This window comes from Homo sapiens, chromosome 11, assembly GCF_000001405.40.
Source record: "Homo sapiens chromosome 11, GRCh38.p14 Primary Assembly".
In the NCBI taxonomy this organism is placed as follows: domain Eukaryota; kingdom Metazoa; phylum Chordata; class Mammalia; order Primates; family Hominidae; genus Homo; species Homo sapiens.
The window spans coordinates 16,673,351-16,687,193 of NC_000011.10; the positions used below are offsets into that span (position 1 = coordinate 16,673,351).

A 13,843-nucleotide genomic window follows, 5' to 3' on the forward strand; every position below is an offset into this window, starting at 1 on the left:
AAATCTTTAGCCAGACTAAGAAAAAAAGAGAAAAAACTCAAATAAATGAAATCAGAGATGAAAAAAGAGACATTACTACTGATATCAGAGAAATTCAAAAGATAATTAGAGGCTACCATGACCAAGTATATGTATGCCAATAAATTGAAACACCAAAAGAAATAAATAAATTCCTAGACACATAAAACCTATCAAGATTGAGCCATGAAGAAATCTCGAACAGACTAATAACAAGTAATGGGCTCAAAGCAATAATAAAGTATCCAAGTAAAGGAAAGCCCAGAACCTGATGGCTTCACTGCTGAATTTTACCAAACATTTAAAGAACTAATATCAATCCTACTCAAACTATTCTAAAAAAAACCAAAAGTAGAGGAAAGAGGGAATACTTCCAAACTCATTATATGAGGCCAGTATCACCCTGATACCAAAACCAGGCAAAGATATATCAAAAAAATAAAACTACAGTCCAAGATCCCTGATGAACACTGATGCAAGAATCCTCAACAAAATACTGGCAAACCAAATTCAACAACACATTAAAAATATCATTCATCGGCTGGGCGTGGTGGCTCATGCCTGTAATCCCAGCACTTTGGGAGGCCGAGGCAGGCGGATCACAAGGTCAGGAGATCAAGACCATCCTGGCTAACATGGTGAAACCCCGTCTCTACTAAAAAATACAAAAAATTAGCCGGGCCTGGTGGCGGGCGCCTGTAGTCCCAGCTACTCGGAAGGCTGAGGCAGGAAAATGGTGTGAACCCAGGAGGTGGAGCTTGCAGTGAGTCGAGATCGTGCCACTGCACTCCAGCCTGGGCGACAGAGTGAGACTCCATCTCAAAAAAAAAAAAAAAAAAAATCATTCATCATGATCAAGTGGGATTTACCACGAGGATGCAAGGATCTCTCAACATACTCAAATCAGTCAATAGAATGAAGGACAAAAACCATATGATTATTTCAAGTAATGCCGAAAAAGCATTTGATAAGATTCAACATCCCTTCAGGCTGAAACCTCTCAAAAAACTGGGTATGGTAGGAACATATCTCAACATAATAAAACTCATATTTGCAAGACCCACAGCTAATATCATACTGACTGGGGAAAAACTGAAAGCCTTTTATCTTTAATCTGAAACATGACAAGGATGCCCACTTTCACCACAGTAATTCAACGTAGTACTGAAGTCCTAGCTAGGGCAATCAGACAAGAGAAAGAAATAAAGGGCAGCCAAGGCTGGGCATGGTAGCTCACACATGTAATCCCAGCACTTTGGGAAGCCAAGGCAGGCAGATCACCTGAGGCCAGGGCAGCCAAGGCTGGGCATGGTAGCTCACACATGTAATCCCAGCACTTTGGGAAGCCAAGGCAGGCAGATCACCTGAGGCCAGGAGTTCAAGACCAGCCTGGCCAACAAAGCGAAACCCTATGTCTACTAAAAATACAAAAATTAGCCAGGCGTGGTGGTACACACCTGTAGTCCCGGCTACTCAGGAGGCTGAGGCAGGAGAACTGCTTGAACCTAGGAGGCAGAGGAAGGTTGCAGTGAGCTGAGATCACACACCACTGCACTCCAGCCTGGGTGACAGGGTGAGACTCTGTCTAAATAAATAAATAAATAGCATCCAAATTGGAAACGACTAACTCAAATTATCCTTGTCTGCTGACATATTTAAAAAACCTGAAGTCTCCACAAAAAACTACTAGAATTCATCAGCAAATTCAATAAAGTGGCAAGATACAAAATCAACATACAAAAATCAGTAGCATTTCTATATGCCAACAGTGAACAATCTGAAAAAGAAACAAAAAATATAATCCCATTTACAGTAATCACACATAAAGTTCAATACCTAGGAATTATTGTAGCTCTCTGCAACATTGAACTCCTTGGTTCAAATGATCCTCCTGCTTCAGCCTCCCATGTAGCTGGGACTACAGGCATGTGCCACCACATCCAGCTATTTTTTTAAATTATATTTAGGGATGGGATCTCATTATGTTGCCCAGGCTGATCTCAAACTCCTGGCCTCAAGTGATCCTCCCATCTCAGCCTCCTGAGTAGCTAAAAATACAGTCATGAGCCACCACATCCAGCCATAGATATACAATTATTGGTTTATGCTATTATCTTTTAAAAGTTTAGAAAAAAGAGAAGAGTTACAAACCAAAAATAGGTAGTTCTTTGATGAGTGATTTTTTTATGTCTTTGTCTGGGTTCAAGTTATTGTCTAATGTCCCTTCATTTCAGCTTGAAGAAGTCCCTTTGTCATTTTTTGTAGGTAAGGTCTACTAGAGATAAACTCAGTTTTTGTCAGTCTAAGAATGTCTTAAATTCTCCTTCATATTGGAAAGATAGTTTGGCCAGATACAAAATTCTTGTGGATTATTCAATTACTTTGAAGATGTCATCCCATTGCTCTCTGGCTTCCATGATTTCTGATGAAAAATTAGCTGTTAACTTATTGAGGCTCTCTTGTACATAAGTCACTTCACTGTTGCTACTTTTAAGATTATTTTTGCTTTTAATAGTTTAATTATAACTTATCTTGGTGTGGCTCTCTGTTATCTTACATGGAGTTTGTTGAGCTTCTTTGATGTATAGCTTTATGTCTTTTGTCAAATTTCGAAAGTTTTAAACCATTATTTCCTTAAGCATTCTTTCTGTCCCTTTCTCTCCTCTCTTCTGGGACTCCAACTATGCATAACAGTCCCACAGGTTTCTGAGGCTCTGCTCATTTTCATTCATTCATTTTCCTGATCTTCAGCATAATCTCAACTGACCTATTTTCAGTTTCATGAATTCTTTCTTTTGCCTGCTCAAATGTGATTTGCACACTTCTTGTGAATTTCTCATTTCAGTTATTATGCTTCTCAACACCATAATTTCTCTTTGGTTCCTTTTTATAACTTCTACATCTTTGCTGATATTCACTATTTGGTGAGACATCAGTCTCATGGTTTCCTTATTTGCAAATTGTTTCCTTTAGCTGTTTGAGAATATTTAAAATAATTGATATAAAATCTTTGTCTAGTGAATCCAATGTCTGAGCTTCCTCAGGAATAGTTTCTATTAATTTCCTTTTCTCCTGTCCATGGGCCATATGTTCTCATTTCTTTATACTTGTTGAATATCTGATACTTTGACAAGTATAATGTGAAATCTCTGGAAATCAGAATCTTCAACCTTCTCTGGGGTTTTTTGTTGCTTCTTGTTGTAGTTGTTTTGTTTAGTTAGTGACTTTTCTAAACAAATTTTGTAAAGTCTGTATTCTTCGTCACATGTAGCTACTGAATTCTGTCCCATGAACTTAGTAGTCATCTAATAGTTCAACAGAGATTTCCTTAAATGCCTAGAATCAACACAAATCAAACAACAACAACAACAACAAAAACCTCCCAGTCTTTGTAAATGGGCTTCGTATATGTTGAGCATGCCTTCAACATACAGTTTACAACTTCCTTAGTCCTCAATTCCTGCTTACACAGATCCTAAAAGTCATTCCGAGAAGAAAACTTGAGGTCTTTCTCAGGTTTTTTTTTTTAGTATGCACTCAGTCCTGGGCATGCAGTTGGCCTTCTAGATTACCAGGAATATGTGGGTACTTTTCAAAGCGTATTCCCCAAAATAACTCTTTCCCCAGCCTTTCTTCCTCAGCTTTTTGGTTACTCTATTGTTTGCCCCAACTATTATGCCTTTCCCCAGGTGGCAGCAATAAAAACATTTGCTTTTAAATGTTTCCAAACTATACCTCCAGGGTAGCCATCTCATCTGTGAGAAAGTTCTGAGTTAAACAAACTAATGGCAAGCCTTTTATGTAATACTTCATGGAAGCACCAGACAGGTCAAAGCCACAGTTCTTTGGGAATAAGGTCCATGCTGCTCCCACTTGTACTATGTACCTGTAGCTGGAATGTCAGCTGTCTTTAAAACCACCACCAAGATGGGAAATGAGGAAAACCTGAGTAAGTTAAAGTGTTACAAAGTTATTTTACAGAGATTCAAGGTTTTATTTAATTATTATTAAATATTTCCCTGGTTGCTGTAAGCTTTTGATTAGTTTCAAGTTTTAAAAAACTCGATCTTCAAATTTTTTGCCAGTTTTTGTGGAGGGATGGACTTTGGGACTTCTCTACTCCACCATTTTTGTTTATGTTACTCAGCATTAACTGATTATATAAAGTTAAAACGATTTTACATTCCTCAGAGGAAAGTCCACTTGGTCGTGATGAATTATTCTTTCTACATATTTGGATTTGTTAGACTTTTCTAAATTTTTTAATTTGTTTTTGTAAGGAGTATTGATCTGTGAGTTTGAGTTTCTTCCTTATAATGTTGTTGTATGTATGGTTTTGGTGTCAGAGTAATGCTAGCCTCATCTACCCCCATCATAAATTTTCTGGAAGAGTTTCTGTCTGATTAGTATTATTTCTCCTTTAAATGTTTGGTAGAATTTGCCAGTGAAGCTATCTGGCACTGGAATTTTCTTTGAGAAGATTTTGACTTACAAAACCAATTGCTTTAATGAATATATAGATACTAAGGTTATTCATTTCTTCTTAAGTAAGCTCTGGTAGTGTCTTTTAAGAAATTGATTTCAATTTCATCTAAGCTATTGAATCCATAGGCATAAAGTTCTTCTATTATCCTTTTAGTATCTGTAGAATATTCATGTATTTCTTTTATCTTTTTTCCTTATCACTCTGACTAGATGTTTATCAACATTATCAATATCAAAGAACCAATTTTGATTTCACTGATTTTTTCTTACTGTTTTTCTGTTCTCTATTTCATTAATTTTCATTTTGATCTTTATTGTTTCTTTCCACATGGTTAGTTTGGGTTTAGTTTGCTTGTCTTTCTCTATTTCATAATGTGGATCTAAAGTGATGGATTTGAGAGTTTTCTTGTTCTCTAATGCAGGTTTTCAGTCATATAAACTTCCCTATAGGGACTAATTGAACAGCATTCCTCAAGTTTTAACATGTTATGTTTTCATTTTCTTTCCATTTAAATTGACCTTCTAATTTCTTTTTAAAATCTATTTATTTAGAAGTATATTATTTAGCTTTCAAATTGTGTTAGGCTATTCTTGCATTGCCATAAAGAAATATCTGAAACCGGTACCACTTCAAGATAGCCAAATAGGAACAGCTCCAGTCTGCAGCTCCCAGCAAGATCAACACAGAAGATGGGTGATTTCTGCATTCCCAACTGAGGTACCTGGTTCATCTCATTGAGACTGGTTGGACAGTGGGTACAACCCAAGGATGGCAAGCTGAAACAGGGCAGGACATTGCCTCATCTAGGAAGTGCAAGGGGTCAGGGGATTTCCCTTTCCTAGCTAAGGGAAGCCGTGACAAACTGTACCTGGAGGAACAATACACTTCTGCCCAAATACTGAGCTTTTCCCACGATCTTAGCAACCAGCAAACCAGGAGATCCCCTCCCATGCCTGGCTCGGTGGGTCCCACACCCACAGAGCCTTGCTCACTGCTAGCACAGCAGTCTGAGATTGACCTGCGATGCTGCAGATTGGTGGGGGGAGGGGCATCCGCCATTGCTGAGGCTTCAGTAGGCAGTTTTATGCTCACAAAGCAGCCAGGAAGCTCGAACTGGGTGGAGGCCACCAGAGCTCAGCAAGGCCCACTGCCTCTCTAGATTCCACCTCTGTGGGAAAGGCATAGCTGAACAAAAGGCAGACAGCCTCTTTAGACTTAAATGTCCCTGTATGACAGCTCTGAAGAGAGCAGTGGTTCTCCCAGCGTGGCATTCGAGCTCTGAGAGTGGACGGACTGCCTCCTCAAGTGGGTCCCTGACCCCTGTGTAGCCTGACTGGGAGACATCTCCCAGTACGGGCCAACAGACACCTCATACAGGTGGGTGCCCCTCTGGGATGAAGCTTCCAGAGGAAGGATCAGGCAGCAATATTTGCTGTTATGGAGCCTCTGCTGGTGATACCCAGGCAAACAGGGTCTGAAGTGGACCTCCAGCAAACTCCAACAGACCTTCAGCTGATGGGCCTGACTGTTAGAAGGAAAACTAACGAACAGAAAGGAATAGCATCAACATCAATAAAATGACATCCACACCAAAACCCCACTGTAGGTCACCAACATCAAAGATCAAAGGAAGATAAACCCACAAAGGTGGGGAGAAACCAGAGCAGAAAAGCTGAAAATTCCAAAACCAGAGTGCCTCTTCTCCTCTAAAGGACTGCAGCTCTTCACCAGCAAGGGAACAAAACTGGACAGAAAATGAGTTTGACAAGTTGACAGAAGTAGGCTTCTAGAAGGTTGGTAATAACAAACTTCTCTGAGCTTAAGGAGCGTGTTCTAACCCATCACAAGGAAGTTAAAAATCTTCAAAGTTAGAGGAATGGCTAACTCAAACAGTGTAGAGAAGACCTTAAATGACCTGATGGAGCTGAAAACCAAAGCACAAGAACTTCGTGACACATGCACAAGCTTCGATAGCCAATTTGATCAAGTGGAAGAAAGGATATCAGTGATTGAAGATCAAATTAATGAAATAAAGCATGAAGACAAGATTAGAGAAAAAAGAATGAAAACAAATGAACAAATCCTCCAAGAAATATGGGACTATCTGAAAAGACCAAATCTATGTCTGATTGGTGTAACTGAAAGTGATGGGGAGAATGGAACCAAGTTAGAAAACACTCTTCAGGATATTATCCAGGAGAACTTCCCCAACCTAGCAAGGCAGGCCAACATTCAAATGCAGGAAATACAGAGAACACCACAAAGATACTCCGTGAGAAGAGCACCCCAAGACACATAATTTTCAGATTCACCAAGGTTGAAATGAAGGAAAAAATGTTAAGGGCAGCCAGAGAGAAAAGTCGGGTTACCCACAAAGGGAAGCCCATCAGACTAACAGAGATTTCTCTGCAGAAACCCTACAAGCCAGAAGAGAGTGGGGGCCAATATTCAACATTCTTAAAGAAAAGAATTTTCAACCCAGAATTTCATATCCAGCCAAACTAAGCTTTATGAGCAAAGGGGAAATAAAATCCTCTACAGACAAGCAAATGCTGAGAGATTTTGTAACCATCAGGACTGCCTTACAAGAGCTCCTGAAGGAAGCACTAAACATGGAAAGGAACAACCAGTACCAGCCACTACAAAAAGATGCCAAATTGTATAGACAATAGACGCTATGAAGAAACGGCATCAATTAATGGCCAAAATAACCAGCTAACATCATAATGACATGATCAGATTCACACATAGCAATATTAACCTTAAATGTAAATGAGCTAAATGCCCCAAATAAAAGACACAGACTGGCAAATTGGATAAAGAGTCAAGACCCACCAGTGTACTGTATTCAGGAGACCCATCTCATGTGCAGAGACACACATAGGATCAAAATAAAGGGATGGAAGAAGATCTATCAAGCAAATGGAAAACAAAAAAACGCAGGGGCTGCAATCCTAGTCTCTGATAAAACAGACTTTAAACCAACAAAGATCAAAAGAGACAAAGAAGGCCATTACATCATGGTAAAGGGATCAATTCAACAAGTAGAGCTAACTATTCTAAATATATATGCACCCAAACAGGAGCACCCAGATTCATAAAAACAAGTCCATAGAGACCTACAAACAGACTTAGACTCCCACACAATAATACTGGGAGACTTCAACACCCCACTGTCAATATTAGACAGATTAACAAGACAGAAGGAAAACAAGGATATCCAGGACTTGAACTCAGCTCTGGACCAAGCAGACCTAATAGACATCTACAAAACCCTCCACCCCAAATCAACAGAATATACATTCTTCTCAGCACCACATCACACTTATTCTAAAATTGACCACGTAATTGGAAGTAAAACACTTCTTAGCAAATGTAAAAGAACAGTAATCACAACAAACTGTCTCTCAGACCACAGTGCAATCAAATGAGAACTCAGGATTAAGAAACTCACTCAAAACTACACAACTACATGGAAACTGAACAACGTGCTTCTGAATGACTACTGGGTAAATAACAAAATGAAGACAGAAGTAAAGATGTTCTTTGAAACGAATTAGAACAAAGACACAACATACCAGAATCTCCGGGACACATTTAAAGCAGTGTGTAGAGGGAAATTTATAGCACTAAATGCCCACAAGAGAAAGCAGGAAAGATCTAAAATTGATACCCTAACATCACAATTAAAAGACCTAGAGAAGCAAGAGCAAACAAATTCAAAAGCTAGCAGAAGGCAAGAAATAACTAAGATCAGAGAAGAACTGAAGGAGATAGAGACACAAAAAAACCTTTCAAAAAAATCAATGAATCCAGGAGCTGGTTTTGTGAAAAGATCAACAAAATAGATAGACCACTAGCCAGACTAATAAAGAAGAAAAGAGAGAAGAATCAAATAGAGACAATAAAAAATGATAAAGGGGATATTGCCACTGATCCCACAGAAATACAAACTACCATCAGAGAATGCTATAAACACCTCTATACAAATAAACTAGAAAATCTAGAAGAAATGGATAAATTCCTCGACACATACACCCTGCTAAGACTAAACCAGGAAGAAGTTGAATCTCCGAATAGACCAATAACAGGTTCTGAAATTGAGGCAATAATTAATAGCCTAACAACCAAAACAAGTCCAGGACCAGACAGATTCACAGCTGAATTCTACCTGAGGTACAAAGAGGAGCTGGTACCATTCCTTTTGAAACTATTCCAATCAATAGAAAAAGAGGGAATGCTCCCTAACTCATTTTATGAGGCCAGCATCATGCTGATAACAAAGCCTGGTAGAGACACAACAAAAAAAGAAAATTTTAGGCCAATATCCCTGATGAACATTGGTGTGAAAATCCTCAATAAAATACTGGCAGGAGAATGGCATGAACCCAGGAGGCGGAGCTTGCAGTGAGCTGAGATTGCACCACTGCACTCTAGCCTGGGCGACAGAACAAGACTCCGTCTCAAAAGAAGTAAAAATAAAAATAAATACTGGCAAACCAAATCCAGCAGCATATGAAAAAGTTTCTCCACCACGATCAAGTCAGCTTCATCCCTGGGATGCAAGGCTGGTTCAACATACGCAAATCAATAAACATAATCCATCACATAAACAGAACCAATGACAAAAACCACATGATTATCTCAACAGATGCAGAAGAAGCCTTCAACAAAATTCAACAGCACTTCATGCTAAAAACTCTCAATAAACTAGGTATTGATGGAACATATCTCAAAATAATAAGAGCTATTTATGACAAACCCACAGCCAACATCATACTGAATGGGCAAAAACTGGAAGCATTCCCTTTCAAAACTGGCACAAAACAAGGATGCCCTCTCCCATCACTCCTCTTCAGCATAGTGTTGGAAGTTCTGGCCAGGGCATTCAGGCAAGAGAAAGAAATAAAGGGTATTCAATTAGGAAAAGAGGAAGTCAAATTGTCTCTGTTTGCAGATGACATGGTTGTATATTTAGAAAACCCCATCATCTCCGCCCAAAATCTCCTTAAGCTGATAAGCAACTTCAGCAAAGTCTCAGGATACAAAATCAATGTACAAAAATCACAAGCATTCCTATACACCAATAACAGACAGAGAGCCAAACCATGAGTGAACTCCCATTCGCAATTATTACAAAGAGAATAAAATACCTAGGAATCCAACTTACAAGGGATGTGAAGGACCTCTTCAAGGAGAACTACAAACCACTGCTCAACGAAATGAAAGAGGACACAAACAAATGGAAGAACATTCCATGCTCATGGATAGGAAGAATCAATATCGTGAAAATGGCCATACTGCCCAAGTTAATTTATAGATTCAATGCTATCCCCATCAAGCTACCAATGACTTTCCTCACAGAATTGGAAAAAACTATTTTAACATTCACATGGAACCAAAAAGGAGCCCACATAGCCAAGAAAATCCTAAGCAAAAAGAACAATGCTGGAGGCATCATGCTACCTGACTTCAAACTATACTACAAGGCTATAGTAACCAAAACAGCATGGTACTGGTACCAAAACAGATATATAGACCAATAGAACAGAACAGAGGCCTCAGAAATAACACCACACATCTACAACCATCTGATCTTTGACAAACCTGACAAAAACAAGAAATGGGGAAAGGATGCCCTATTTAATAAATGGTGCTGGGAAAATTGGCTAACCATATGTAGAAAGCTGAAACTGGATCCCTTCCTTGCACCTTATACAAAAATTAACTCAAGATGGATTAAAGACTTAAATGTTAGACCTAAAACCATAAAAACCCTAGAAGAAAACCTAGGCAATACCATTCAGGACATAGGCATGGGCAAAGACTTCATGACTAAAACACCAAAAGCAATGGCAACAAAAGCCAAAATTGACAAATGGGATCTAATTAAACTAAAGAGCTTCTGCACAGCAAAAGAAACTATCATCGGAGTGAGCAGGCAACCTACAGAATGGGAGAAAATTTTTGCAATCTACCCATCTGACAAAGGGCTAATATCAAGAATCTACAAAGAACTTAAACAAATTTACAAGAAAAAAACAAACAACTCCATCAAAAAGTGGGCAAAAGATATGAACAGACACTTCTCAAAAGAAGACATTTATGCAGCCAACAGACATATGAAAAAAATGCTCATCATCACTGGTCATCAGAGAAATGCAAATCAAAACCACAATGAGATACCATCTCACACCAGTTAGAATGGTGATCATTAAAAAGTCAGGAAACAACAAATGCTGGAGAGGATGTGGAGAAATAGGGAAGCTTTTACACTGTGGGTGTAAATTAGTTCAACCATTGTGGAAGACAGTGTAGCGATTCCTCAAGGATCTAGAACTAGAAATACCATTTGACCCAGTGATCCCATTACTGGGTATATACCCAAAGGATTATAAATCATGCTACTATAAAGACACATGCACAAGTATGTATATTATGGCACTAATCACAATAGCAAAGTATTGGAACCAGCCCAAATGTCCATCAATGATAGATGGATTAAGAAATTGTGGCACATATACACCATGGAATACTATGCAGCCATAAAAAAGGATGAGTTCATGTCCTTTGTAGGGACATGGATGAAGCTGGAAACCATCATTCTCAGCAAACTATCACAAGGACAGAAAACCAAACACTGCATGTTCTCACTCATAGGTGGGAGCTGAACAATAAGAACACATGGACACAGGGCAGAGAACATCACATACCAGGGCCTATTGGCGGGGTGGGGGGCTGGGGGAGGGATAGCATTAGGAGAAATTCCTAATGTAAATGACAAGTTGATGGGTGCAGCAAACCAACATGGCACATGTATACCTATGTAGCAAACCTGCACGTTCTGCACATGTACCCTAGAACTTAAAGTATAATTTAAAAATAAATAAATAAAATAAAAGTAAAGGCCTTTCTCTTTGGAAAAAAAAAGAGAAGAAATATCTGAAACTGTGTAATTTATAATGAAAAGAGGTTTACTTGTGTCACAATTCTGCAGGCTGCACAGAAATCATGGTGCCAGCATCTGCTTATCTTCTGGGGAGGCCCCACGAGCTTTTACTTATGGCAGGTGAAGCGGTACCAGACGTGTCACATGGCGAGAATGGGAGCAAGAGGTGCGTAAGGTGCCACACACTTTTAAACAACCAGATCTAATGAGTACTCACTCACTACCATGAGGACAGCACCAAGCCATGAGGGATCTGCCCCCATGACCCAAACACATCCCACCAGGCCCCACCTTCAACTTTGGGGAATACAATTCAAAATGGGATTTGGTGGTGACATATATTCAAACTATATCATTCCATTCCTGGCCCCTCAGAGCTCATGTTCTTCTCACACTGCAAAAAAATAAAAATAAATTAAAAAAAATACAATCATGGCTTCCCATTAGTCCCCCAAAGTCTTAACTCTCCAGCATTAATTCAAAAGTTCCCAGTCCCAAGTCCAAATCCAAAGTCTCATCTAAGACAAAGCAAGTACTTTCTAACCATGAGCCTGTAAACTAAAATACAAGTTATTTACTACTAAGATACAATGGGAGTATTGGCATAGAGTAAACATTTCTGTTCCAAAAGGGAGAAACTGGCCAAAAGAAATGGGTTACAGGCCCCATGAAAGTTTGAAAAAACCAGCAGAGCATTCATTAAACCTTAAAGCTCCAAAATAATTTCCTCTGACTCCATGTCCCACATCCCTGGCACACTAGTGCAAAAGGTGGGCTCCCAAGGCCTTGGACAGCTCCACCCCTGTGGCTTTGCAGGATGCAGCCCCCACAGCTGCTCTCATGCACTAGAGCTAAGTGCCTGTGGCTTTTCTGGGAACAAGGTGCAAGCTGTCAGTGGATCTGTCATTCTTGGGTCTGCAGAATAGTGGCCTCACAGCTCCGCTAGGCAATGCCCCAGTAGGGACTCTGTGTTGGGGTTCTATCCCCACATTTCTCCTCTGTACTGTTGTACCCTGCAGTAGGCTTCTGCCTGGGCACCTAAGCTTTCTCATACATTCTCTGAAATCTTGGTGGAGGCTGCCAAGCCTTCGCTCTTGCACTCTGCGTGCTGACAGGCTTAACACCATGTGAAAACCACCAAGGCCTACAGCTCACATTCTCCAAGGTGGTAGGTCGAGCTGCACCTGGGCCCCATTGGGCCCCAGCTAGAGCTGCAGCAGCCATGATGCGGAAGGTTGTGTCTCAAGGCTGCACAGGGCAGTGGGGTCCTGTGCCTGGCCCATAAAAGCATTCTTGCCTTCTAGACCTCTGGGTCTGTGATGGAAGGGGTTGCCACAAAGGTCTCTGAAATGCCTTCAAGGCCTTTTCCTAATTGTCTTGGCTATTAGCACATGGTTCCCTTTTAGTTATGCAAATATCTCTAGCAAGTGGTTGAATTCCTCTTCCCAAAAAATCTTTTTCTTTCTTTGCCACATGGCTAGGCCACAAATATTCCAAATCTTTATGCTCTGCTTCCCTTTTCAATATAAATTCCATCTTTAAGTCATTCCTTTGCTCCTGTATCTGAGAGTAGGCCACATCTTCAACACACTGCTGCTTAGAAATTTCTTCTGCCAGATACCCCTATGTCATCACTCTCAAGCTCAAACTTCCACAGATCTCTAGGGCATGGACACAATACACAATACAGCCAAGTTCTTTGATAAGGTATCTCAAGAGTGAACTTTATTCCAGTTCCTAATAAGTTCCTCATTTCAATCTGAGACCTCAGCAGCCTGGACTTCACTGTCCATATCATTATCAGCATTTTGTTCACAGCAATTTACTGGTCTCTAAGAAGTTATAAACTTTCCCTCATTTTCCTGTCTTCTGTCCCTCAAAACTCTTCCAATCTCTGCTCATTACCAAATTCCAGAGTTGCTTCCACATTTTCAGGTAGCTTTATAGCAAAGCCTTACTCCTCAGTATCAATTTTCTGTGTTAGGCTATTCTTGCATTGCTATAAAGAAATATTTGAGAATTAGTGGCAGGCACCTGTAATCTCAACTACTCAGGAGGCTGAGGCAGGAGAATCGCTTGAACCCGGGAGGCAGAGGTTACAGTGAGCCAAGATTGCACCACTGCACTCCAGCCTGGGTGACAGAGTGAAACGATGTCTCACAAAAAAAAAAATTAGCCAGGCGTGGTGGCACATGCCTGTAATCCCAGCTACTTGGGAGGCTGAGGCACAAGAATCACTTGAACGTGAGAGGCAGAAGTTGCAGTGAGCCAAGATCATGCTGATGCACTCCAGCCTGGACAACAGAAGAAGACTCTGTGTCAAAAAAACAAAAAAAGAAATACTTGAGACTGAGTAATTTAAAAAGAAAGGTTTGCTTGGCTCACAGTTC

The 13,843-nt window shown here is 40.0% G+C and overlaps 1 protein-coding gene across 1 annotated transcript in view, besides 2 other annotated features; it reads right to left on the bottom strand.

Moving 5' to 3' along the window:
* The window catches only part of SOX6 (SRY-box transcription factor 6), a 772,029-nt gene that overhangs the window by 706,902 nt on the left and 51,284 nt on the right, over nt 1–13,843 (bottom strand). The window lies entirely within an intron of this gene.
* Nucleotides 4,991–5,519: an enhancer, noted in NCBI's record as "H3K27ac-H3K4me1 hESC enhancer chr11:16699888-16700416 (GRCh37/hg19 assembly coordinates)". NCBI's record gives its function as "activates a minimal SCP1, AML or CMV promoter by ChIP-STARR-seq in primed H9 embryonic stem cells {active_cell/tissue: H9 hESC(primed)}" and the evidence as "EXISTENCE:reporter gene assay evidence [ECO:0000049][PMID:30033119]".
* Nucleotides 5,520–6,047: an enhancer, noted in NCBI's record as "H3K27ac-H3K4me1 hESC enhancer chr11:16700417-16700944 (GRCh37/hg19 assembly coordinates)". NCBI's record gives its function as "activates a minimal SCP1, AML or CMV promoter by ChIP-STARR-seq in primed H9 embryonic stem cells {active_cell/tissue: H9 hESC(primed)}" and the evidence as "EXISTENCE:reporter gene assay evidence [ECO:0000049][PMID:30033119]".